Consider the following 26,615-nt stretch of genomic DNA (forward strand, 5'->3'; position numbering starts at 1 on the left):
TGTAGAGACGGGGTCACACTGTTGCCCAGGCTGGTCTTGAACTCCTGGGCTCAAGCGATCCTCCTGCCTCGGCTTCCCAAAGTGTTGGGAATACAGACGTGAGCCACTGCACCTGGGTTGAATTTTTAAATTTTTATTTTATTTATTTATTTATTTTGAGACGGAATTTCACTCTCCTTACCCAGGCTGGAGTGCAATGGTGTGATCTCGGCTCAGGGCAGCCTCTGCCTCCCAGGTTTAGGTGATTCTCCTGTCTTAGCCTCCTGAGTAGCTGGGATTACAGGCGCCTGCCACCACGCCCAGATAATTTTCTTATTTTTAGTAGAGATGGGGTTTCACCATGTTGGCCAGGCTGGTCTCGAACTCCTCACCTCAGGCAATGCACTATCTTTGGCCTCCCAAAGTGCTGGGATTACAGGCATGAGCCACCACGCCCGGCCAACTTTTTAAAAAATTGAAATAAAATTCACACAACACAAAATTCACCATTTGCTTTAAAGTATATGATTCAGTGGGTTTGGGGCACACTCATGAGGTTGTACAACCATCACCTATACCTAATTTCAGAACATTTTATCCCCTCAAAGGGAAACCCCGTCTCCAACTGAGTTGGCCACCTCAGAAGTGACTGAGAAGCAGTCACTTATCCCCCTCCCCAGAACCCTGACAACCACAAATCTGCTTTCTGTCTTTGGATTCGCCTGTTTTGGACAGCCATGAAGTGGGCAAAATAACATTGAGTGAAATCTTTGTGATGGAGAAAAATAGGTCATGACATGGTAGGTGGGACCCGGAGGGTCATTTTAGCCGAGAAGGTCAAGGAGGTTCTCTCTGAGGAGGTGACATTTAAGCTGAGACCAGCAGGAGATAAAGGAGTGGCTGAAGGGAACAGCATTTGCAGCAGAGGGAACAGACAGTGCCAAGACCCTGAGGCAGGACCATGCCTGGTGTGATCATGGAACTGTGGGGAGGCTGGTGTGTTGGGGAGGCTGGTGTGCAGGAGGAGATGGGGTCACAGGGTGGCCGGGGCCAGACCACAGAGCCTTGAGGGCCTCAGTGAGAGGTTTGTGTTTTGTCTTGTTTTGTTGTTTGTCTGTCTCTGAGATGGAGTCTGGCTCTGTCACCCAGGCTGGAGTGCAGTGGTGCAATCTCAGCTCACTGTAACCTCCACCTCCCGGGTTCAAGCAATTCTCCTGCCTCAGCCTCCTGAATAGCTGGGATTACAGGTGCGAGCCACCATGCCTGGCTAATTTTTGTATTTTTAGTAAAGATAAGGCTTCACCATGTTGGCCAGGCTAGTCTCGAACTCCCAGCCTCAAGTCATCCGCCCACCTCGTCCTCCCAAAGTGCTGGGATTACAGGTGTGAGCCACTGTGCCCGGCCAGGTTTGGGTTTTATTTCAAACCTGGGACAGGGCTCCGTTCTCCACCACTGCTCTAAAAATATTTATTGAAAGAAGAGGGACATACCACAGAGTCAGCCCTACCTTTGGTGCTTCAGGCCTTCAAATGGAGACCCCAGGGTGCAAGGAATTCAGGTCTTTGCAGACCTTCCTGTGGAAGATGGAACAGTGTGAAACTGCATGGAACAGCATGGATGCATTTGGGAACTGCGTGGAGGCTCTGTCTCCTGTAAGGCAGAACTGAGTTGGCCGCCCCAGGGACTGAGTCCCTGGCCACCTCCTGCCAGCCACAAAGACCGTGCTGCCCACGACGTGCTGTTGCTTCATGGTGACTTGACTGTGATACAAAGAGGCCACCAACCTGGACAGGGAAACCTGAGCTTTCTGCAAGCTCCCCAGTAACTCCAGGCCTGACAGGGGCTCACTTCAATACCCCCAGCCCCCGTCTATGAAATAAAGGGTGTTTAGGATCCATCTGGCAACGGACACCCACTCGCCCAGGCCAGACCTAGGGAGGGGCACAGGGACCAACGAGGCCTCAGTTTCCCTATCTGTGAAATGGACAGAAAAAGCCCCGCGGCGCATCATAACAACCCACCAGGTCTATTGTCCAGCCCTGGGGGCCCCCACATCCCTCTGAGCAGCTTTGGGGTCCCCAATTTCCTTCCCCCAAGCACACACGCACTGTCCTCTGCCCCTGACCGCAGCCGGGTCCTGATACTGTTTTGTTCTCACCCTGCTCTCCTGACCTGGTGCCACCAGTTTGGTGTCTTAAAAAACCACAACTTAGGGTGCTGTTATCTGCTATCAGTGGCGGGACGCGGTGGTTTCGGGGCCCCTCCGTGCACTTCTCAGAAGAGCCAGCCATGTCATCGCAGGGTGCTTGGCACAAAGCAGCTTGTTTATCAGGCCCCCTCATCGCGATCCCTGCTGATAAGGGCCTTCAAGGCGCCCGACAACTTGTTTACGGGCCTTGTTTTCAGAGATTCTCCATTTGATGTATCCCGGTCTTGCAGCCCAGGGGTCAGGGCATTGGGGAGGGGGGAAGCAGGGCTGGGTCGAGGGGCTTCTGGGAAGACTTCCTGGAGGAAGGGATGCTGGAAGGGAGCGAGGGAGGGTTAGTTGCAGAAGATGGGGTAGGCATTGCAGGTGGAAGAACCTGCATGGGCAGAGGTTTGGAGATAAGAACCTTGTGACAGGCTGGGGGCAGGGGCTCATGCCTATAATCCCAGCACTTTGGGAGGCTGAGGTGGGAGGATCGCTTGAGTCCAGAAGTTCAAGACCAGCCTGGCCAACATGGCGAAACCCCATCTCTACAAAGAAAAAAAAAAAATTAGCCAGGCAGGGTGCGTGCCTATAGTCTCAGCTACTTGGGAGGCTGAGGTGGGAGAATTGTTTGCACTTGACCTTGAGAGGTGGAGGTTACAGTGAGCCAGGATCACACCACTGCACTCCAGCCTGGGTGACAGAGCCAGACCCTGTCTCAAAAAAGTAAAAAAAAAAAAAAAAAAAAAAGAGCTTCTGGCAAAGTCAGGTTAATTAATGAGCTGGGGCTTATCTGAAGAGCAATAGGGATTTGGCAGGGTTTAAGCTGGGGAGTGGGGAGGTTAAGAGCCAGGGTGAAGTTTGAATCCTGGTTCTACTCCCAGCTTCAGTTTTCTCATCTGTGAAATGGGGATGGTGTGAGGATTCAGTGACACCATTCAGGAGGGGACGCTGGGGAGAAGCCACAAGCAGGTTGGATGGGAGGAGGAGGGCCTGGCAATGCCAGGGAATGCGTAGAGCCAGAAAGCTGATTAGTAGTTGCTTAAGGCTGGGGGCTGGGATGGGAACAGGATGGAGGTTGATAGCTAAAGGGGAAGGGGTTTCCTTTTGAGGTGATTAAAATGTTCTCAAACAGGCCGGGCACGGTGGCTCACACCTGTAATCCCAGCACTTTGGGAGGCCGAGGCAGGTGGATCACTTGAGGCCAGGAGTTCGAGACCAGCCTGGCCAACATGGCTAAACCATGTCTCTACTAAAATTACAAAAATTAGCTGGACATGGTGGCACATGCCTGTAATCCCAGCTACTTGGGAGGCTGAGGCAGGAGGATTGCTTGAACCTGGGAGGCAGAGGCTGCAGTGGGCCAAGATTGCACCAATGCACTCCAGCCTGGGCGACAGAGAGAGACACCATGCCAAAAATAAATAAATAAATAAATAATAAAATAAAATGTTCCCAAATGGAGTGGTGATGGTTGCAGAACTCTGTGAATACCCTAAAACCCATTGAATTGGAATCTTTGTTATTATTATTATTATTATTATTTTGAGACAGGGTCTCACTTTGTCACCCAGGCTGTAGTGCAGTGGTGCAATCTCAGTTCACCGCAGTCTCAACCTTCCAGGCTCAAGCAATCCTCCCACCTCAGCCTCCTGAGTAGCTGGGACTACAGGGGTGCACCACCATGTCTGGCTAATTTTCTTGCTTGCTTGCTTGCTTGCTTTTTTTTTTTTTTTTTTATAGAGATGGGGTCTCACTGTGTTGCCCAGGCTGGTCTTGAACTCCTGGCCTCAAGGGATCCTCCCGCCTCAACCTCCCAAAGTGCTGGGATTACAGGCATGAGCCACCACGCCCGGCTGAGCTGGACACTTTAAATGAGTGAATTGTGTGGTCGATGCATTATATCTCAACAAAACTGTTAAAAAACAAAACAGACAAAAGAAGATCAAGAAGGCCTTTTTCACTTTAGCACCGGGAAACCCAGGAGGCAGCTCTGAACCTCTGGATAGAAGGCATTTTGGGCAGCGGCTGAAGGAGGTAGGTACTGAGCTCCTTGTCACCTAAGCCATGACCAGGTGAGCTCCTGCTGGGAGCCGCAACCACCCAGCTGCTCCTCCGCTTCTCCCAGCAGGAAAGGTGCCAGGGGCTGCCCCTCAGATGTGGCAACAGGAGCTGGGCCCCCCACCCGCCCACACTGGGGTTTCTGCGCCTTTGCTACCTGTCTACCTGCTAAGCCACTTCCTCCGCCCACCCACCAGCCCGTCTGCCTGGCGCCTGGCTTCCCCGGCTCCCTCGTCCGCCTTGCCTGCATCCCCCTACCCACCTGGCTTCCTCGTGAGCTGCCCATGTAGGCAGGACTGGGAGAGGACCCTCCTCCAAAAGCCAGGATCGGAGCCCAGCTTAGCCATTGACTCTCTGGAGCTCCTTCAAGAAGTGAGCCTTAGTTTATCCGCCTGAGCAATGGGACTAAAAATATCAACCTCGCAGGATGGCTGCGAGGCTCAGGGCCTTTGCACTGTCCATCCCCCCCCCCTGCTGGGGGCACCTTCTAGAATCTTCCTGGAGGTTGCCACTGGCCTCTCTCTCCTCCTGGGAAAAACCCTCCCTGACTCCCCCAGCTAAATGCACCAATGGGCCCTCTTTTCCCCTCGCCTCAATTCATTTTTTGCCCTGGAACCTCAGTACCTAGAGCTTTATTTATTTGTTTATTATTTTTATTTTTATTATTATTTTTTGAGACAGTCTTACTCTGTTGCCCAGGCTGAAATGCAGTGGCGTGATCTCGGCTCACTGCAATCTCTGCCTCCCGGGTTCAAGTGATTCTCCTGCCTCAGGAGAATCCCAAGTGGCTGGGATTACAGGCGCCCGCCACCACGCCCAGCTAATTCTTGTATTTTTAGTAGAGACGAGGTTTCACCATGTTGGCTAGCCTGGTCTTGAACTCCTGACCTCAGGTGATCCACATGCCTCGGCCTCCCAAAGTCCTGGGATTACAGGCGTGAGCCACCATGTCCAGCCAATAAGCAGTCCCAGAGCTCTATTGATGACTGTTTGCCAGTCTACTGCTTGCATCTAACCTGAGAGCTACATGAGGACAGAGACTGTGCCTGTCTCAGGGGCACAGGAGTGGCTCAGGGACTGTTTTGTTTTGTTTTGTTTTGTTTTGAGACAGAGTTTCGCTCTTATTGCCCAGGCTGGAGTGCAATGGCGTAACTCGGCTCACTGCCACCTCCCTGTCTAAGGTTCAAGCGATTCTGCTGCCTCAGCCTCCCGAGTAGCTGGGATTATAGGCACCCACCACCACGCCCAGCTAATTTTGTATATTTAGTAGAGACGGGGTTTCTCCATGTTGGTCAGGCTGTTCTCGAACTCCCGACCTCAGGTGATCTGCCCGCCTTGGCCTCCCAAAGTGCTGGGATTACAGGCGTGAGCCACTGCACCCAGCTGGGACAATTTGTTCAATAGTGAGCAAAGTGTGTCTGGGGAATTGTGTGCCAGGTTCAGAGGGAGAGCTGGGAGCAGCAGCACACACCTGTAGTCCCAGCTACTCGGGAGGCCAAGGCAAGAAGATCGCTTGAGGCTGAGAGTTTGAATCCAGCCTGGGCAGCATAGGGAGACCTCATCTCTTTTTTTTTTTTTTTTTTTTTTTTTTTTTGAGACAGAGTCCTGCTCTGTCCCCCAAGCTGGAGTGCACAATCTCAGCTCACTGCAACCTCCACCTCTCAGGTTCAAGCGATTCTCCTGCCTCAGCCTCCCAAGTAGCTGGGATTGCAGGCATACGCTACCATGCCTGGGCAATTTTTGTATTTTTAGTAGAGACGGGGTTTCACCATGTTGGTCAGGCTGGTCTCGAACTCCTGACCTCAAATTATCCACCCACCTCAGCCTCCCAAAGTGCTGGGATTACAGGAGTGAGCCACCGCGCCCAGCCAAGACCACATCTCTTAAAAAACAAAGGCCTAGGCCAGGTGCAGTGGTGCATGCCTGCAATCCCAGCACTTTGGGAGGCCCAGGCAGGAGGATCGCTTGAGTTCTGGAGTTCCAGACCAGCCTGTGCAACATGGCAAAAACCCCTCTCTACAAAAAATACAAAAATTAGCTGGACGTGGTGGTGTGTGCCTATAGTCCCAGCTACTCAGTAGGCTGAGGCAGGAGGATCACTTGAGCCTGAGAGCTTGAATCTGGCCTGGGCAGCAGAGTGAGACCCCATCTCTTAAAAAAAGAAAAAAAAGGCCTGGTGCAGTGGTACAAGATCACATCTGTAATCTCACCACTTTAGAAGGCCAGGAGCTTGAGACCAGCTTGGGCAACATAGAAAGACCTCGTCTCTACAAAACATAAAAAGAAATTAGCCAGGCGTGGTGGCGCGTGCCTGTAGTCCCAGCTACTTGGGAGGCTGAGATGTGAGGATCGTTTGAGCCTAGGAAGTTGAGGCTGCAGTGAGCCGTGATTGGGCTGCTGCACTCCAACCCAGGCAGTGTAGAGATCCTATCTCAAAACAAAACAAAAACAAAAAAGGAAAGATTGCATGTGGTCTTATAGCAAAGCTGACAAGAAAACGTTCAGGAAGAGAAGGAAAATTTCTTGTGAGCTTTCAAAATACACCCTGAAACCTCAAATAAATTCTCTGCTTGGGGAGAGATCTAGACACCTCCCACTTTCCTTTCTTTTTTTTTTTTTTTTTTTTTGAGATGGAGTCTCACCCAGTCTCACTCCAGTCGTGCCCAGTCTCACTCCAGTCTCACCCAGGCTGGAGTACTGGAGACTGGAGTGTAGTGGTGCGATCTCGGCTCACCACAACCTCCACCTCACTGGTTCAAGCGATTCTCCTGCCTCAGCCTCCCCAGTAGCTAGGACTACAGGCGCATACCGCCATGCTGGGCTAATTTTTGTATTTTTAGTAGAGACAGGGTTTCACTATGTTGGTCAGGCTTGTCTCGAACTCCTGACCTTGTGATCTGCCCGCCTTGGCCTCCCAAAGTGCTGGGATTACAGGTGTGAGCCACCGTGCCCGGCTATTTTTTTTTTTTTTTTGAGACAACGTCTCGCTCTGTCACCCGGGCTGGATTGCAGTGGCACGATCTCGGCTCACTGCAACTTCCACCTCCGGGTTCAAGCGATTCTTGTGTCTCAGCCTCCTGAGTAGCTGGGATTATAGGTAGCTGCCACCACGTCTGGCTGATTTTTTTATTTTTAGTAGAGACAGGGTTTCGTCATGCTGGCCAGGCTGGTCTCGAACTCCTGACCTCAGGTGATCTGCCCACCTCAGCCTCTCAAACTGCTGGGATGACAGGCGTGAACCACCATGCTGGCCCTTCATTCCTTTTTAAGGCTGAATAATATTCCCTTGCACGGATGGGCCATGTTTTGCTGGTCCATTCACCCTTTAATAGACATCTGCATTGCTCCCACTTTTTGGCTATTGTGAATAATGCTGCTATGAATATTCATGTCCAGGGATTTATTTGAACACCTGTTTCCACTCTTCTGGGGATATACCTAGGAGTGGAATTGCTGGGCCATATTTATGGCAATTCTGTGTTTAACTTTTTTTTTTTTTTGAGACAAGGTCTCACTCTATTGCCCAGGCTGAAGTGCAGTGGCTCAATCACAGCTCACCATGGCCTCAACCTCCTGGGTTCAGCTGATCCTACTCCCTCAGCCTCCCAAGTAGCTGGGAATACAGGTGCATCACCTCGCCTGGCTAATTTTTTTATGCTTTTCATAGAGACAGGGTTTCACCATGTTGCCCATGCTGGTCTCGAACTCCTAAGCTCAAGCAATCCTCCTGCCTCAACCTCCTGAAGTGCTAGGATTACAGGTGTGAGCCACTGCACCCAGCCTGTGTTTAACTTTTTGAGGACCTACCAGGCTTCAACGACAGCATCATTTGACATTCCCACCAGCAATGGCTCAGTAGTTTTGAACCCTTATGGCTTTCAACTAACTAGGACCCAAGTTCAAATCTTGGCTTAACCACTGTGACCACTGGATCCTTTTCTTTCCCATCATGCATCTTGCTTTTCCTGGTAGCAACACCCAATTCTGCCTCTAGGAACCCACCTGTCTCAGCATGGCCAGCGGGGCTATCAATCCTAGAGGTTCACACTCAATGGGCTGGGGGCAAATTTGGGGAACCAAGAGGTGACTCCCCTACCTAGGAAAATTCACAAGAACAAGGCAGGTCTAATTGAGATTCACATAGGGGGAGGAGAGAGAAGGCGGCCTTGGCAGCTGCTAGGGCCTCCTGAGCCAGCAAGATTTTAAATATGTTTTTGCACAAAAATAGACGGATAGACCTTCAAACAAGAAGAAAAAAGAACCTGTGTTTAGAGCTGCGAGCTGAGTGTTTAGGCAGCTGACAGCATTTAGCCTGGAACGAACTATCCAATGCAAGTGTGTGGTTAGGGTCGTGTTCAAAAATACGGCTTCGAAGCAGCAAACCCGGGGCTGGGCCACTCGCCCTGTAATTCTTTTTCCAAATAAAAGGCAGAACTATTCCTGGCTCGGCTTGGGGACTTCTGCGGCTGCCGGGGCTCCAAGGAGGCCAGCCTGGAATGTCAAGCATGGCTCTCGCCCCGCCAGGCTCAGGCCTATGCTGCTTGGGAGCCTGTCATTGTATGACTTTTTAATTAAAACGTGATTCCCACAGGGCCCTGTCCGAGCCCAGGACTCCTTCACAGGAGGCCCCTGGGCTTGTGGCAAAGCGCTGGGACTTGTGATGTTTGGTAGCATGAGCCAATTTGGAGCTATTTGTGGAGTGGATTTAAAAAAAACAACAACAAACCAAACAAACATCACTTGATGTTTGCCAAATATAGCATTTTGCATTTCTATAAGCAAAGCCCTAATTTTTTTTTTTTTTTTGAGACGGAGTCTCTCTATTGTCACCCAGGCTGGAGTGCAACGGCGCAATCTCAGCTCACTGCAACCTCCGCCTCCCAAGTTCAAGCGATTCTCCTGCCCCAGCCTCCCAAGTAGCTGGGATTACAGGCGCCCACCACCACTCCTGGCTAATTTTTTGTATTTTTAGTAGAGACAGGGTTTCACCATGTTGGTCGGGCTGGTCTCGAACTCCTGACCTCAGGTGATCCACCCGCCTCGGCCTTCCAAAGTGCTGAGATTACAGGCACTGTGGGCCACCATGCCCAGCCTGATTTTTTTTTTTTTTTAAGAGACAGAGGGAGAGCTCTGTTGCTTAGGCTGGAGTACAGTGGCACGATCATGGCTCACCACAGCCTCCAACTCCTGGGCTTGAGTGATCCTCCTACCTCAGCCTCCTAAGTAGCTGGGACTACAGGCATGCACCACCACATTTGGCTAATTTTATTTTTTATTTTTTGTCGAGATGGGGGTCTTGCTGTGTTTGCCCAGGCTGGTCTCCAACTCCTGACCTCAAGGCATCCTCCTGCCTCAGCCTCCCAAAGTGCTAGGATTACAGGCGTGAGCCACCGCACCCAGCCTAAAGCCTTGATTTTTAAAAAGTAATGTACTTGGCCAGGCGCGGTGGCTCACGCCTGTAATCCCAGCAGTTTGTGAGGCAGAGGTGGGTGGATCACGAGGTCAAGAAGTCAAGACCATCCTTGCCAACAGGGTGAAACCCCACCTCTACTAAAAATACAAAAATCAGCCGGGCGTGGTGGCGCTCGCCTGTAGTCCCAGCTACTCAGGAGGCTGAGGCAGGAGAATCGCTTGAACCTGGGAGGCAGAGGTTGCAGTGAGCCAAGATTTTGCCACTGCACTCCAGCCTGGAGACAGAGTGAGACTCTGTCCCAAAAACAAACAAAAAAAGTAATGTACTTAATCAGATATAGAAAGGAAAGAAGCACTGATCCATTCTACAAGGAGGATGAGCTCGAAAACATAACGCCAAATGAGAGAAGCCAGACACCAAGGCCGCGTAGTGTGAGATTCCATTGATATGAAATGCCCAGAACAGGCAAATCCACAGAGACAGAAAGAGGAAGAAGAGGAAGCATGGTTGCCACCGGCTGTGGGGGAGTGGGGAGTGATTGCTGATGGGGACAAGGCCTGCTTTTGGCAGGGATGAAAGTATTTTGGAATTAGATAGAGGTGGTGGTTACACAATATTCTGAGTGTACTAAATACCTCTGAATTACTCACTTTATTTATTTTTGTTTTTATTTTTATTTTATTTTTTGGGACAGAGTCTTGCTCTTGTCGCCTAGGCTGGAGTGCAATGATGCAGTCTCGGCTCACTGCAACCTCTGCCTCCCAGGTTCAAGTGATTCTCCTGCCTCAGCCTCCCGAGTAGCTGAGATTACAGGCACCCGCCACCACACCCGGCTAATTTTTTGTATTTTTAGTAGAGACAGGGTTTCACCACATTGGCCAGGCTGGTCTCGAACTCCTGACCTCAGGTGATCTGCCTGCCTCGGGGCAGATTCTAAAGTGCTGGGATTACAGGCGTGAGCCACTGTGCACAGCCTGCTGACTTTAAAATGGGTAATTTTATATTGTATGAATTTCTTAAAAAAAAAAAAAGCCAGGCACGGTGGCTCATGACTGTCATCCCAGCACTTTGGGAGGCCGAGGTGGGAGGATCACAAGGTCAGGAGTTTGAGACCAGCCTGGCCAACATGATGAAACCCCGTCTCTACTAAAAATGCAAAAATTAGCCGGGCATCGTGGCAGGTGCCTGTAGTCCCAGCTACTCGGGAGGCTGAGGCAGAAGAATCGCTTGAACCTGGGAGGCAGAGGTTGCAGTAAGCCGAGATTGTACCACTGCACTCCAGCCTGGGCAACAGAGCGATACTCCATCTCAAAAAAAAAGAAAAGAAAACAAAACAAAACAAAAACGGCATGTAACTTGGGGAGTGGTAAGAACAGAGGCTCTGGGTCTAAATCCTCCCTGGCCTGCCAGTGACCAGCTGGTGGGCTTAAAGCAACAATTTAGCATTCTCAGATCTGAATCTGCCATCTGTAGGCAGAATGGGGATACTGAGGCTGGGCCTCAGGAAGACCACCGCCATCTGCCACCCAGCTCACTATAGTCAAATTTCCCCAGCTTCCCCAGTAACAACCTTTATGGCCACTTTTTCCTTTTTCACTTAGGATCCGATCCAGACTCACACATTGCCCCTGGGGCTTCTGTTTCGTTCACTACCTTTCATCAGGAACCATGCTGCAGTCTTTCCCAGCCTTTCACGACATGGACATTTTGGTGGAGTTGAAGTCAGTTGTTTTGTGGAACATATCCCAGGGTGCTGGCCTGATGGTTCCCTGTGACCAGGTAGAGGGTGTGAATTTGGGGCAGGATCCACAGAAGCAATAGTGGATCTTCCCTGGTGCGTCGTATCGGGAGGCACCTGACATTGGCTTGTCCAGTTACTGGGGATGTTAACTGTAGTCTTATTTTTTTCTTTTTCTTTTTCTTTCTTTCTTTCTTTCTTTCTTTCTTTTTTTTTTTTTTTTTTTTTTTTTGAGATGGAGTCTCATTCTGTCACCCAGGCTGGAGTGCAGTGGCACAATCTGGGCTCACTGCAAACTCCACCTCCTGGGTTCAAGTGATTCTCCTGCCTCAGTCTCCCGAGTAGCTGGGATTACAGCTGCCTGCCACCACGCCTGGCTAATTTTTTTATTTTTAGTAGAGACGGGGTTTCACCATGTTGGCCAGGCTGGTCTTAAGCTCCTGACCACCCACCTCAGCCTCCCAAAGTGCTGGGATTACAGGCAGGAGCCACCATGCCCAGTCTCTCTCTCTCTCTCTCTCTTTTTTTTTTTAGAGACAGTCTTGCTGTGTCACCCAGGATGGAGTGCAGTGACACAAACATAGCTCACCTTAGTCTCCAGGTCCTGGGCTCAAGTGATCCTTCTGCCTCAGCCTCCCAAGTAGCTGAACTACAGGTGTGCACCACCATGCCCTGCTAATTTAAAAAATATGTATTTCTTTGTAAAGAAAGGGGGTCTCACTGTGTTGCCCAGTTTGGTCTCAAACTCCTAGCCTCAAGAAATCCTCCTGCCTCGGCCCCTCAAAGTGCTGGGATTACGGGTGTGAGCCACTGCGCCCGGCCAAATGTGCTCTTATGATTCAGGCGATGGGATTATATGTCTTAAAATCTTCCCAGAGCAGGGACCCCAATGTGCAGGAGGAGCTAGAAATGACTCCCTTAAATCTCTTATCTGCAGAGCCCCGCTGGCCCCAGCCTCCATTCTGTCTCAGGGCTCCCTCACTGCCATGTCTTTTCCTTTTTTCTTTCAAAAAAACATCTGCAAGTAAGCCCAATGTCTGATCGGGCCAGGTGACACGGAGCCAGCAGGGCCAGGGATGGCTTAGACCCTTTTCTGAGCCAGAAGAGGGGACCATGTGAGGGCAGATGAGATGCATTCCCAGAGACTTCCTGGAGGAGATGGCCTCTGAGCCACATCCTAGAAATGAGCTGCACCTTAGTGCCATTTCAAGGGTTCTGGGGCTCCCGGAGAAGTCTCCAGGGGCCTTTTTCTGTCTCACCCAGTAGGACAGCCCAGGGGTTCACTGGTCCCCTGTCAGGGGCTCATCTGGACTTTCGCCATCAGATGTTAGTGGCAGTTTCCCCATGCGGTGGGGAAGCACATTCATGCCCCCATCATCAGGGAACAGACCACTCTGCCTTCTTTGAAGTTTACGATCTACAGGCAACTGGATTTGAATCTCTGATTTTATCCCTGCCTCTCTGGAGGCTGAACCACAGGCCTCTGTGTTCAGTCCCTGCCTGGGAGCTATTTTGGGATCTCAGGTCTGTAATTTTTGCTGCTCGGGGAAAGCCTTGGCAGGAATATGGGGGGCAGAGAACGGAGGGACAGATGGCTGGCTTCCCTCACCAAGCCTCAGTTTACCCATCTGCTAACGGGGGTGAGTAATTCACACCTCACGGGAGGGCGGTGAAAAATCTGTTCAATGCTGGGTATGAAATGACATCCTGGAGACAGCCTCCATCAGGGTTTCTTTGTTTCTCTGTTTTGAAACAGGGTCTCACTTTGTCACCCAGGCTGGAGTGCAGTGGTGCTGATTCATGGCTCACTGAAGCCTCCATCTCCCGGGCTCAAGTGATCCTCCCACCTCAGCGTCCCAAGTAGCTGGGAACACAGGTTCATGCTGCCACACCTGGCTAATTTGTTTTTTATTTCATTTCATTTCATTTTATTTTTTTGAGACAGAGTCTTTGCTCTGTCGCCCAGGCTGGAGTGCAGTGGCATGATCTCTGCTCACTGCAACCTCCGCCTCCCGGGCTCAAGCAATTATCCTGCCTCAGCCTCCCTAGTGGCTGGGATTACAGGCGCCTGCCACCACGCCTGGCTAATTTTTGTATTCTTAGTAGAGACGGGGTTTCACCGTGTTGGCCAGGCTGGTCTCAAACTCTTGACCTCGTGATCTGCCCACCTCGGCCTCCCAAAGTGCTGGGATTACAGGCGTGAGCCATCATGCCCAGCCCACCTGGCTAATTTATTTTTAATATTTTCATAGAGACAGGGTCTCAATATGTTGCCCAGGCTGGTCTCCAACTCCTTGGTTAAAGCAGTCCTCCCAACTCGGCCTGCCAAAGTGGTGAGATGGCAGGAGTGAGCTTCTGCACCTGGGCACACTCAGGGTTTTGTCTATTCTTGTGTGGAGGGGGATGTCTGCTCCTTTTTTTTTTTTTTTATGGAGGCTCGCTCTGTCGCCCAGGCTGGAGTGCAGTGGCACAATCTTGGCTCACTGCAAGCTCTGCCTCCCGGGTTCATGCCACTCTCCTGCCTCAGCCTCTCGAGTAGCTGGGACTACAGGCGCCCGCCACTATGCATGGCTAATTTTTTGTATTCTTTAGTAGAGTCGAGGTTTCACCATGTTAGCCAGGATGGTCTTGATCTCCTGACCTCGTGATCCACCCGCCTCGGCCTCCCAAAGTGCTGGGATTACAGGCGTGAGCCACCGCGCCCAGCCTTTATTTTTTACTTTTTTTAATTACTATTTTTTTTGAGATGGAGTTTCACTCTATCACTCAGGCTGGAGTGCAACGGCGCAATCTTGGCTCACTGCAACCTCTACCTACTTCCCGGGTTCAAGTGATTCTCCTGCCTCAGCCTCCTGAGTAGCTGGGACTACATGTGCGCACCACTATGCCCAGCTAATTTTGTTTGTGTGTGTGTGTGTGTGTGTGTGTGTGTGTTTAGTAGACACGGGGTTTCACCATGTTAGCCAGGATGGTCTTGATCTCCTGACCTCATGATTGCCTGCCTCGGCCTCCCAAAGTGCTGGGATTACAGGCGTGAACCACCACATCCAGGTAATTTTTGTATTTTCAGTAGAGACAGGGTTTCACCATGTTGGCCAGGTTGGCCTTGAACTCCTAACCTCAGGTGATCCGCCCACCTTGGCCTCCCAAAGTACTGGGATTACAGGCACCCAAAGTGCTGCACCCGGCCTCTGCTCCCTCCTCTACCTCCCATCAAAAATAGGCAAGTGAGATTGGTCAACTGGGGGGTAATTTTAACTGCTGACACCAGGCAATGTCTGGAGACATTTTTGGTTGTTGTAGAAAATCTGGGGAGGGGATGTTACTGGCATCTGGTGGGTGGAGGCCAGGGATGCTGCTCTGCAGCCTACTGGGCGCAGGATGGCCCCACAAAGAGAATAATCCAGCCCCGAATGTCAGTGGTGCTGAGGATAGGAAGTTACAGCACCCAATACTGTATTTCCCATGTATCCAGATGACTCATGGTTGGTGACTTTGTAATTTGATTTGATGTGATTTGTATATGAGTCAATGTTACACGCTGCTACTGTTTGAATGTTTGTCCACTCCAAAAGTCAAGGAGGGCTGGGCACGGTGACTCATGCCTGTAATCCCAGCACTTTGGGAGGCCGAGGCAGGCAAATCATCTGAGCTCAGGAGTTTGAGATCAGCCTGGGCAACATGGTGAGATCCCCATCTCTACTAAAAAACACAAAAAATTAGCCGGGCATGGTAGCGTGTGCCTATAATCCCAGCTACTCAGGAGGCTGAGGCAGGAGAATCACTTGAACCCGGGAGGCAGAAATTGCAGTGAGCCAGGCTCATGCCACGGCACTCGAGCCTGGGGAACGGAGAGAGACTCTGCCTCAAAAAAAAAAGAAAAAAAAATGCTGGGCACGATGGCTCATGCCTGTAATCCCAGCACTTTGGGAGGCCAAGGTGGACAGAACACCAGGTCAGGAGATCGAGACCAGCCTGGCCAATGTGGTGAAATCCCGTCTCTACTAAAAATACAAAAATTAGCTGGGTGTGGTGGCAGGTGCCTGTAATCCTAGCTACTCAGAGGATGAGGCAGGAAAATCGCTTGAACCCAGGAGACGGAGGTTGTAGTGAGCCGAGATCGCGCCACTGCACTCCAGCCTGGCGACAGAGCGAGACTCCATCAGAAAGAAAGAAAGAGAGAAAGAAAGAGAAAGAAAGAGAGAAAGAAAGAAAGAGAAAGACAGAGAGAAAGAAAGAAAAAGAAAGAGAAAGAAAGAAAGAGAAAGAAGGGAAGGAAGAAAGAAAAGAGAGACTTAATCCTCAATGTGGCAGCATTGAGAAGTGAGACCTTTAAAATCATGATTAGATTAGATTATGATTAGATTATGTTATGACTGGGGCCAGGCTCGGTGGCTCATGCCTGTAATCCCAGCACTTTGGGAAGCCAAAGCGAGTGGATCCCTTGAGCCCAGGAGTTCAAGACCAGCCTGGGCAACATAGTGAGACTCTGTCTCTGAAAAAAAAAAATTAAGAAAGAAAGAGTTGAAAGAAGAAGAAAGATCTGAGATAGCAAGTTAGCATGCCCAGACTCCTCTCCAGAAAGTCCCCACCAGGAGGAAGACTCTCACCAGAACTGTCCCTTGACCTTGGACTTCCCTGCTTCCAGAAATTAACAAATACATTTTGTTTCTTTACAAATCACCCATCTTCAAGGCCAGGCACTGTGGCTCATGCCTGTAATCCCAGCACTTTGGGAAGTGGAGACGGATGGATCACTTGAGGTCAGGAGATCGAAACCAGCCTGACCAACGTAGTGAAACCCTGTCTCTACTAAAAATACAAAATTAGCTGGACGTGGTGGCGCATGCCTGTAATCCCAGCTACTCTGGAGGCTGAGGCAAGAGAATGGCTTGAACCGGGGAGACGGAGGTTGCAGTAAGCTGAGATTGCACTATTGCACTCCAGCCTGGGCAACAAGAGCAAAACTCCGTCTCAAAAAATAAAATTATTAATATTAATTAAATTAATTAATTTATTAAATATTAAGCTGCTTTTATAAAAACAAGGTGAGTACTGCCCTGGTTCTCACAATGTCTGGGATATTTTTGGTTGTCATGGATGGGTGCAGTGGGGAGGGAGGCATGTATCCCTACTGACATGTGGCTCAGAAATCTTGAACTAAGAGAAGCATCTTCCAAGGGTGGCCTCTCTGCAGTTGTGACATCTGAGCTGGGATCTGAACGTGCCACCCCGAGTAAAGTTTGCAGGCCCAGCGTGGGGGTTCAGTGGACACACACATGTGAGTCCAGAAAGACCCAGTGGGTCTGAGGAACAGTGACAATAGGCCCCTGGGCTGGGGCCGAGGGAAAGGAGTGACAGAAGGTGATGTCCCAGAGGCCATATCCTGAGGCCTCTCCCTCGATCCCGTGATGTTTCAGAAGGTCCCTCTGGCTGACGGGTGGAGAATGAGCTGTTGGGCCAGGGGAGAAAGTAGATGGCTCGGGTTGATTCCCCGGGCAAGATGAAGGTGGCTCGGCAGAGTTGGAGGGGGCTGGTGAAACGAGGAGGAATTGCAGGCTGGGCAAAGTGTTCCTGCAAAGAGCGGGCTTTGCAAGCCATAAGGTCTGTGTTGCAACCACTGAACTCTGCCTTTGTGTCCCCAAAGCAGCCTTAAGATGAGATGTGACAAATGGGCACAGGCATGTGCCATTAACTTTATTTATGGACACCAAAATTTGAATTTCCTAGAGCTTTCACATGTCACAAAATATTTTTCTTTTAATATTCTCCCAAATTTTATAAAATGTAAAAAGGCCAGCCCAGGCAACATAGGGAGACCCCATCTCTATGAAAAGAAAAAGAATTAGGCAGTCATGGTGGTGCACACCTGTGGTCCCAGCTACTCGGGAGGCTGAGGCAGGAGGGTGGCTTGGGCCCAGGAGGTTGAGGCTGTAGTGAACTATGATTGTGCCACTGCACTCCAGCCTAGATGACAAAGAGAGACGCCATCTATTTTTTTAAATGGTTAAAATGGTCAATTTTCTGTTATGTGTATACATATATATATGTGTGTGTGTGTTTGTGTGTGTATCTGTGTATATATGTGTGTGTGTATGTGTGTGTGTATGTGTGTGTGTGTGTGTGTATGTGTGTGTGTGTATATATATACTTTTTTTTTTGAGTCTGAGTCTTTGTCACCCAGGCTGGAGTGCAGTGGCGCAATCTCAGCTCACTGCAACTCTGCCTCCCGGCTTCAAGTGATACTACTGCCTCAACCTCCCGAGTAGCTGGGATTACAGACACCTGCCACCACACCCAGCTAATTTTTGTATTTTTAGTAGAAACAGAGTTTCATCGTGTTGTCCAGGCTGGTCTTGAACTCCTGGCCTCAAATGATCCGCTCGTCTCAGCCTCCCAAAGTGCTGGAATTGCAGGTGTGAGCCACTGTGCCCTGTCTGTTATGTATATTTTATCACAGTTTTAAAAGATAAATAAAACATTCCGAGCTTGAAAGCCGAAACACAGGTGGTGGGCTAGATGGGACCTTGGGGTCATCATCTGCTAATCACAGAGCAACCCAAACAGGTTGGCACTTGGACCAAAAGTGTGTGAGACCCAGACCGAGGGCCGGGTGGAACCCAGAATCACAGGGGATTTGCTAATAAGGCAAATCTGGGTGAGGACGCACCTGCTCCAGGAAGGGAGGTGGGGTTGCTCTAGCGACGATGAGCCTGGGGTCTAGGTGGCAGCAGCAGGCCAAGTGCCAGGCGCCCCAGGGATGGGGAAGGATTGATTGAATAAATGTTTAAAGGAACGAATGAGTGGATGCACAGGTGGATGGGGAGGGGTTGTGCTGTAACCACCATGAAACAAACTCCACACTTTGATGAGCCACGTGGAGAGGGAGTGGGCAGAAAGAAGAAACTGGAAGTTGGGCCGGGTGCGGTGGCTTATGCCTGTAATCCCAGCACTTTGGGAGGCCGAGGCAGGTGGATCACCTGAGGTCAGGAGTTCCAGATCAGCCTGGCCAACATGGTGAAACCCTGTCTGTACTAAAAATAGGAAAATTAGTTGGGCATGGTGGCACATGGTGCAGGGCTGAGGCAGGAGGATCGCTTGAACCCCAGAGGTCAAGGCTGCAGTGAGCCGAGATCGTGCCATTGCACTGCAGCCTAGGCAAGAAGAGTGAAACTCTGTCTCAAAAAAAAAAAAAAAGAAAGAAAAGAAAAAAGAAATTAAAAAAAAAAAGAAAATATTACCTAGAGTAAAAGAAACCAGACATAAAAGGCCACATATTGTACAATCCTATCTATGTGAGATGCCCACAGAGGCAAATCCATAGGGCCAGAAAACAGATTGGTGTTTGCCAGGGACTGGGGGTGGAGAAATGGGAAGTGACTGGTAATGGGGACAGGGTATCCCTTTAAGGTGATGAAAATATTCTGGAACTAAGTAGAGGTGGCGGTTGCACAACACTGCATGTATAAAATGCCACTACTTTAAAAATGGTTAATTTCATGTGAATTGCACTTTAATAAAAATAAACAAGTATTTAAAAATCCACCAATGCAAACACTTCTCTGTTCCTCTGTGGTGGAGGAAGGGACACGCGCTTTTTTTTCCGACCTTAGGAAGGAACAAGGGAGCCGGGGTCCCCTCCCAGCCTGGGAGCCCTGGGCACAGTCCCGGCTCATTTGTCAGAGCTATCGGAGCCGTCCTCGGGCTGGTGGGAGTTCAGGGCTCTGAAAGGTTTTCTGTCAAGGCTTGAAAGGGGGCCAGGTTTTTTTCCCCCCGGAGCCGCGCAGTCTCGGGGCTGTTGTTCTCAGCAATCGCAGGGCCTCGTGTTAGCAGGAAGCACAGCCAAGTAGGGTTTCCTGCGTGTTGGAGAGAGGAAGCTCCGTAATGTTCTGGGAGGCGATGGTTAAAAATAACTCCGGTATATAAAGACAGCGGAGGGTCCCCTTGTTCGCTCACTCGGGCGCCGGCCGGCTGGACGCAGGGCCGAGCAGGTGGTTTGGGGCCTCGGGAAGGCCAAACCCCCGCCTCTGGGCCCCTGGCTGGGGAAGACACCAGCCAAGTTCAGAGCCCCAAGTCGGCCTCACTTCCACAACTCAGCGTCAGGGACACCGTGGGCGTTTCTGTTTCAAAACGCTTTTCTCCAGCAAAGAACGTAACCTCAAGCTGCTGTCAGGGTAGAGGAATCCCTGCCCCCCGCCGCCACCCAGATAGGTTGGGCCGTGATTTTGGCTGTGCCTGGCAGTGACGATGTAGCGCACCCAGGCTGGGGGGCGCTGGCAGCCAGGGTTCAAATCCCGGCTCTGCCACCTAACGCTGGGACTCAGTTTCTCCATCTGTAGAATGGAACTAACAATAGCTCCTATGCTGTTGTAAGCACTAAACACAGAAGTTAAGCTTTGGGAGTTAGGAGGGTGTGACCTGGGAAATGGATGTCTGCCCTTTCATAAGCAGATTTTGTTTTGTTTTGTTTTGTTTTGTTTTGAGACAGGGTCTCACTCTGTCACCCAGGCTGGAGTGCAGTGGCAAGATCACGGCTCTCTGCAGCCTCAACCTCCCAGGCTCAAGTGATCCTCCCTCCTCAGCCTCCCAAGTATCTGGGACCACAGATGCACGCCACCACGCCTGGCTAGTTTTCTTTTGAATTTCAGTTAAGACAAGGTATCACTATATTGCCCTGGCTGGTCTCGAACTCCTGGGCTCAAGAGATCCCCCCATCTCGGCCTCCCAAAGTCCTGGGATTACAGACATGAGCCACTGCGCCTGGCCACAAGCAGATTTTTAGAGTTGTCATTGCCATCGGAACAGCTGCCCAGACAGCAAGAAGAGCAAAAGCCTGTGTCTGGGGTCAATGCCAGGGTTTGAGGCTTCCAAGCCTAGGTGACCCCACAACAGATTCAACACATACAAAAAGGATCACAAGGACATGTTATAAACATCTCGATGCCAAAATATTCAGTGACAGGGATGAAATGGACACATTCCTTGAAAGACACAAATTACCAAAGCTTACTTAAGAACAAATAGATCGGCCGGGCGCGATGGCTCGTGCTGTAATCCCAGCACTTTGGGAGGCCGAGGCAGGCGGATCACCTGAGGTCAGGAGTTTGAGACCAGGCTGGCCAACATGGTGAAACCCCGTCTTTACTAAACAACAAAAATTAGCTGGCCATGGTGGCGGCCACTGTAATCCCAGCTACTCAGGAGGCTGCGGCAGGAGAATTGCTTGAACCCCGGAGGTGGAGGTTGCAGTGAGCTGAGATCGTGCCATTGTACTCCAGCCTGGACAACAGAGTGAGACTCTGTCTCAAAAAAACAGAAAAGAAAGAAGAAGAAAGAGAAGGGGAAGGGGAAGAAGAGGAGGAATAAGAGGAAGAAGAAAGAGAAGGGGAAGGGGAGGAAGAGGAGGAATAAGAGGAAGAAGAAAGTAGAAAGAAGAAGAGGAGGAGGAAGAAGGAGGAGGAGGAGGAGGAAGAAGGAGGAGAAGGAGGAGGAGGAGAAATAGATCACCCGAATATCCCTGTGTCTATGGGATAAATCAACATTGTTGTAAAAAGAACTTCCTACAGGCCAGGCATTGTGGTGGGTGCCTGTAATCCCAGCACTTTGAGAGCCCAAGGCAGGAGGATCACATGAGGCCAGGAGTTCAAGACTAGCCTAGGCAACATAGCAAGATCCCATCTCTACAAAAAATATAAAAATTAGCTGGGCTTGGTGGCTTGTGCCTATAATCTCAGCACTTTGGGAGACTGAGGTAGGAGACTCACTTAACCTCGGGAGTTTGAGACCAGCCTGGGCAACACAGTGAGACCCCATCTCTACAAAAACATTTTAAAATTAGCCAGACATGGTGGGTTTCAATGGTGGCTTTCACTTCATAGGGGGCTTTTGTTCCAAAGTCGCAGGAGGTGGAATTCCATCAACCAGTCCCAGCTACTTGGGAGGCTGAGGTGGGAGGATTACTTGAGCCTAGGAGGTCAAGGCTGCAGTGAGCTATGATTGTGCCACTGCACTCCAGCCTGGGCGACAGAGTGAAACCCTGTCTCTAAACAAACAAAAGCCTTTCTACAAAGAAAACTCCAGGTCTGGATGGCGTCCCTGGTAAATTTCCCCTAAACATCTAAGGAAGAGAGAGCATCACTTTGATAGGTTGGTGCAAACGTAATTGCGGTTTTTGCCATGACTTTTAAGCAATTACGTTTGCACCAACCTTACACAAGGGCTTTCACCAAACTGAACAGGAAAGAAAGCTTCCCGACTGGCTTTATACCAGGGGCTGCTCCAGGCATGCTGGGGACTGTCCTAGGTGCCGATGGCTGGCTTCCTGCTGTTCACAGGGGCGCTGGGGCTCCCTGCCCCCCAAAACAAGATCCTGTTCCCTTCCAGGGAGGCGTGTTCTTCTGCCGTTAGGGCAGAGCCCCGGTGGGGCTCAGGGAAATGAAAGACATATTTGCTCTCCAGAAATCTGAGCCCGCAGTGCCAGCTCCCCTGAAGGGCGCCTTTGTACGCTGCTTGTTGCCACAATTAGCGCCGTCCCAGACTGCGGCCTGCAGATCGAGGCCGCCTTGGCTCCGAAGCCCCTTTCAGGAGTCATCAGCGTCCTCCATGGGCTCTGACGTGGGCTATTTTTAACTGGCCAAAGGGGAGTTGTTATGGGCCAGCAGCAGCGGGGGACTTGAGGGGAGAGAGGATGGCGGGTGTTGGAGAGGCCAAGGGCTGTGGCCGGTGGTTAGGGTCTCTGCGGGGAGCAGTGTCTGCAGCCCTGGGCCATGGGGTGTGGAGGCAGGGACCTCGGGCCTCGGTTTCCTCATCTGTCCAATGGTGGCTTTCACTTCATAGGGGGCTTTTGTTCCAAAGTCGCAGGAGCTGGAATTCCATCAACCAGTCCCAGGGTCCTGCCCTGCCTGCCTCTCTCCATCCTGTTCTCTGTCCCTCCCTCTCTCTGTGTGTCTCTCTGTGTGGGGGGGTCTCACTCTCTCTCTCTGGGTCTCTCTCTCTCTCTCTGAGTCTCTCTCTCCCTCTCTCTCTGTCTCTCTGGGTCTGTGACTCTTTTCTGTCTCTCTGTCTCTCTATGTGTTTCTCTCTCTGTCTCTGACTTTCTTCTTCTCTGTCTCTCTGGGTCTGTGACTCTTTTCTGTCTCTCTGTCTCTCTCTGTGTGTGTTTCTCTCTCTGTCTCTGACTTTCTTCTTCTCTGTCTCTCTGTGTGTCTCTGTATCTGTCTCTCTCATGTGAGTCTCTCCGGCATGAGTCTCTCCCCCTTCTCTCTCTGTGTCTGACTCTCTTCCCTCGTCTCTCTGTCTCTACCCCTCTTTCTCCATCTCTTGCTCTTTCTCTCTGTGTCTCCGTTTCTCTCTATATATCTCTCTCCCTCTCTTTCCTTGTCTCTGTCTCTCCCTCTCTGTCTCTCTTTATCTCCTCTATCTCTGACTCTCTCTCTGACCCTCCACGTCTCTCCCAGGGTATACATTGTGTTTCCGCAGCTGTGCCTGGGCAGGGCGAGCACCCCATACCCCAAGAACAAGAAGGGTGGCCCTACGGCCTCCATTCCTTTCATGGGGAAAAGACTGCGGACTGAGTGGCTGCCCGTCCCACAGTCGACCCTCCAACTCCAAGGCACGCTGTGTGTTCAGAGCCGCCCCTCGGTCTCCATGTCCCAGCAGGGAGACCCTGACTTCTGGTCTCATTCAAAGCTTTTAGAAGAAGGCTGTGCACTCTTTGCAACTAGATTTTCTTAATTAAATAAATAGATGTCCGGACCTCTCTGGGAAGGGACTTGGAGCTCCTGCCAAGCTGTCCTGGGTGACCATGAACTCCCAGGGGGTTGGTCTCAATAAAGAGCAGCCCACGGCCAATAGCACACCTGCTGATGCTCTGGGGACATCCCTGTGCTAAGGGAAGGCACTGCCCCTACCCCACCTTACGGAGGAACGCAGGCTTAGAGAGGGGCAGTCTTGCAACCAGGCCAACAGGGGAGGCTGCCTGAACCTGGCCTTTTTTTTTTTTTTTTTTTGGAGACAGAGCCTCACTCTGTCACCCAGGCTGGAGTCCAGTGGTGCAATCTCGGCTCACTGCAACCTCTCCCTCCCAGGTTCAAGCAATTCTGCTGCCTCAGCCTCCCGAGGAGCTGGGACTACAGGCACATGCCACCATGCCCAGCTAATTTTTATATTTTTAGTAGAGACGAGATTTCACCATGTTGGCCAAGCTAGTCTCAAACTCCTGACCTCAAGTGATCCACCTGCCTTGGCCTCCCAAAGTGCTGGGATTACAGGTGTGAGCCACCATGCCTGACCTTTTTTAAATTGTGGTAAAATACATGTAACATAAAGTTTATCCATCGTAAGGTGTGCAATATGGTGGCATTCAGCACGTTCACAAGGTTGTTCAACCACCACTAGTATCTACTTCAGAACATTCCATCAGTCCAAAAAGAAACCCTGTCCCAGCGGGGCACGGTGGCTCACGCCTGTAATCCTAGCACTTTGAGAGGCCGAGGCGGGTGGATCACGAGGTCAGGAGTTTGAGACCAGCCTGACCAACATGGTGAAACCCTGTCTCTCCTAAAAATACAAAAAAATTAGCCGGGTTTGGTGACAGGTGCCTGTAATCCCAGCTGCTCAGGAAGCTGAGGCAGGAGAATCTCTTGAACTCAGGAGACGAAGGCTGCAGTGAGCCGAGATCGCGCCACTGCATTCCAGCCTGGGCAACAGAGGGAGACTCTGTCTCAAAAAAAAGAAAAAAGAAAAGCCCTGTCCCCGTCAGCAGTCACTCCCCATTTCCCTTCCCCCACCCCAGGCAGCCACTAATCTGCTTCCTGTCTCTACGGATTTGCCTGTTCAGGGCATTTCATATCAATGAAATCATACACCATGTGGCCTTTTGTGTCTGGCTTCTCTCACTCAGCATATTTTTGGAGTTCATCCACGTTGTAGCATGGAGCAGTGCTTCATTCCTTTTCACAGCTGCGTAATATTCCATTGCTGGATGGACCACGTTTTGTTTATCTGTTCATTCGTTGACAGACACCCAAGTTGCTTCCACCTTTTGGCCGTTGTGAACAGTGCTGCTGTGAACATGCATGCACACATCTTTGTGTGAACACCCACCTTCAATTCTTTTGGGGATATTCCCCAAGAATACACCAACGAATACCAAAATCCTTTTGAGTATATGAGTTACCACTTCAGGGTGGAGCTGCTATGGTATATGGTAATTTTTTTATTTTATTTATTTATTTTTGAGATGGAGTCTTACTCTGTTGCCCAGGCTGGAGTGCAGTAGTGCAATCTTGGCTCACTGCAACCTCTGCCTCCCGGGTTCAAGCAATTCTCCTGCCTCAGCCTCCCGAGTAGCTGGGACTTACAGGTGCACACTATCACATCCAGCTAGTTTTCTTGTATTTTTAGGAGAGATGGAATTTCATTGTGTTGTCCAGGCTGGTCTTGAACTCTTTACCTCAAGCGATCCGACTGCCTCAGCCTCCCAAAGTGCTGAGATTACAGGCGCGAGCCACCGCACCCGGCCATGATATGTTATAAGGTAATTCTATGTTGCACTTTTTTCTTTTTTATTGAGACAGGGTCTTGCTCTGTCACCCATGCTGGAGCGCAGTGGTGCAATCATGGCTCACTGCAGCTTCAACCTCCTGGGTTCAAGCCATCTTCCCGCCTCAGCCTCCCAAGTAGCTGGGACAACAGGTGCATGCCACCACTCCTGGCTAATTTTTTTATTCTATGTTTCACTTTTTGAGGAACCCTCCTGATTTTGGCCCTGGCAGAATTAAGGCTGAATTATCCACACTCCCTCGGACGCACCTGCTGTCCACAGCTCCCCCAACTCCCTGATGGCGGCCCCCAGGAACAATCCTCAAACTGCACCAGCTCTTTCAGCTCTCACCTTCCTTATCTGTACATCAGCCGTGGTGACAATGTAAGGAGATGATGTCAGAAAAGGCCCCAGCTGTGGCCTGGCAGCTCAAATGAAAATCATTGTTCCCCTACCCCACCCCCAACCCAGGTAGGGTTGACAGATTAAACACAGGACGCCCTACTCAAATGCGAACATCAGATAAACAATGAATTCTTTTTTTTAGTATAAGTATATCCCATTCCATGCACTATTCGAGATATACTTCTACTAAAAAAAAAACTTGTTGTTTATCTGAAATTCCAATTTAATGGAGTGTCCTGCGTTTTACTTGCAAAACCTGGTAAGCAGCCTTTGTAACAGTTGGTTCTCACAGACAGGCAGAAATTGAAGGGGATGCTAGGTTTTCTGTTTGTTTGTTTGTTTCTTTTGACACAGAGTCTTGCTCTGTCGCCCAGGCTGGAGTGCAGTGGTGCGATCTTGGCTCACTGCAACCTCCGCCTCCTGGGTTCAAGCGATTCTCCTGCCTCAGCCTCCCAAGTAGCTGGAACTCCAGGCATGTGTCACCATGCCTGGCTAATTTTTTGTATTTTTAGTAGAGACGGGGTTTCACCATGTTAGCCAGGAAGGTCTTGATCTCCTGACCTCGTGATCCCCCCACCTCAGCCTCCTAAAATGCTGGCATTACAGGTGTGAGCCACCACGCCCGGCTGATGCTAGGTATTTCAGACCCCAAGTCACCCATCCACCCATCCAGCCTGTCACCCAGGCTGGAGTGCAATGGTGGTGATCTGGACTCACTGCAGCCTCGACCTCCTGGGTTCAAGCCATCCTCCCACCTCAGCCTCCCAGGTAGCTGGAACCACAGGTGCATGCTCTTATGCCTGGCTAATTTTTGTATTTTTTTGTAGAGATGAGCTCTTGCTATGTTGCCCACCTGCTGGGACTCAATCCACCAAGTAGATGTCTCCAATTCTCCACCATTCCCCAAGACAAGTCTGGTGACAAAGAATTGGTTCAGAACCTGGGAAGTCTTTGAAGGTCCACTTTTGTCAGATGACACATGATCTAAATTGGTCCCCAACCCCAGGCCGCCGGAAAGGCTAGTGAGCATGGGGTGAGCATAGAATCACCGCTCTATGAAAACATGCCTCCCTCAGCCCTGCCTCCTGGGCCACCGAGGTCTGATTCACGCTTCCTCGTATTCAAACAGAGTCGGTGCAGCTGGAAGCAACCCTGCCAGGGGTAAGTCAGCCAGTGCAGGTAACATTTCTCCCCCTCGATTTTTCCCAGAACCCGGCTCCGGGCCCAACACAGGATGCCTGGGGGATGTCAGAGGATTCTAAGTGAGGAAACCCCTGCCGTCCATTGC

General features: G+C 50.6%; 1 long non-coding RNA gene across 1 annotated transcript in view, besides 1 other annotated feature; it reads right to left on the reverse strand.

Annotated features, from left to right (window-relative positions):
• Window positions 9,988-10,188: a silencer, noted in NCBI's record as "peak3390 fragment used in MPRA reporter construct". NCBI's record gives its function as "represses an SCP1 promoter by STARR-seq MPRAs in K562 erythroleukemia cells {active_cell/tissue: K562}" and the evidence as "EXISTENCE:reporter gene assay evidence [ECO:0000049][PMID:32103011]".
• The window catches only part of KLF2-DT (KLF2 divergent transcript), a 41,312-nt gene continuing 33,569 nt past the window's right edge, over window positions 18,873-26,615 (reverse strand). Inside the window, exon 2 of the long non-coding RNA NR_186323.1 lies at window positions 18,873-19,235. This is a non-coding gene — a long non-coding RNA (KLF2 divergent transcript). The remainder of the gene's footprint in view (window positions 19,236-26,615) is intronic.

The sequence above is a fragment of the Homo sapiens genome, chromosome 19 (genome assembly GCF_000001405.40).
Source record: "Homo sapiens chromosome 19, GRCh38.p14 Primary Assembly".
Lineage (NCBI taxonomy): Eukaryota > Metazoa > Chordata > Mammalia > Primates > Hominidae > Homo > Homo sapiens.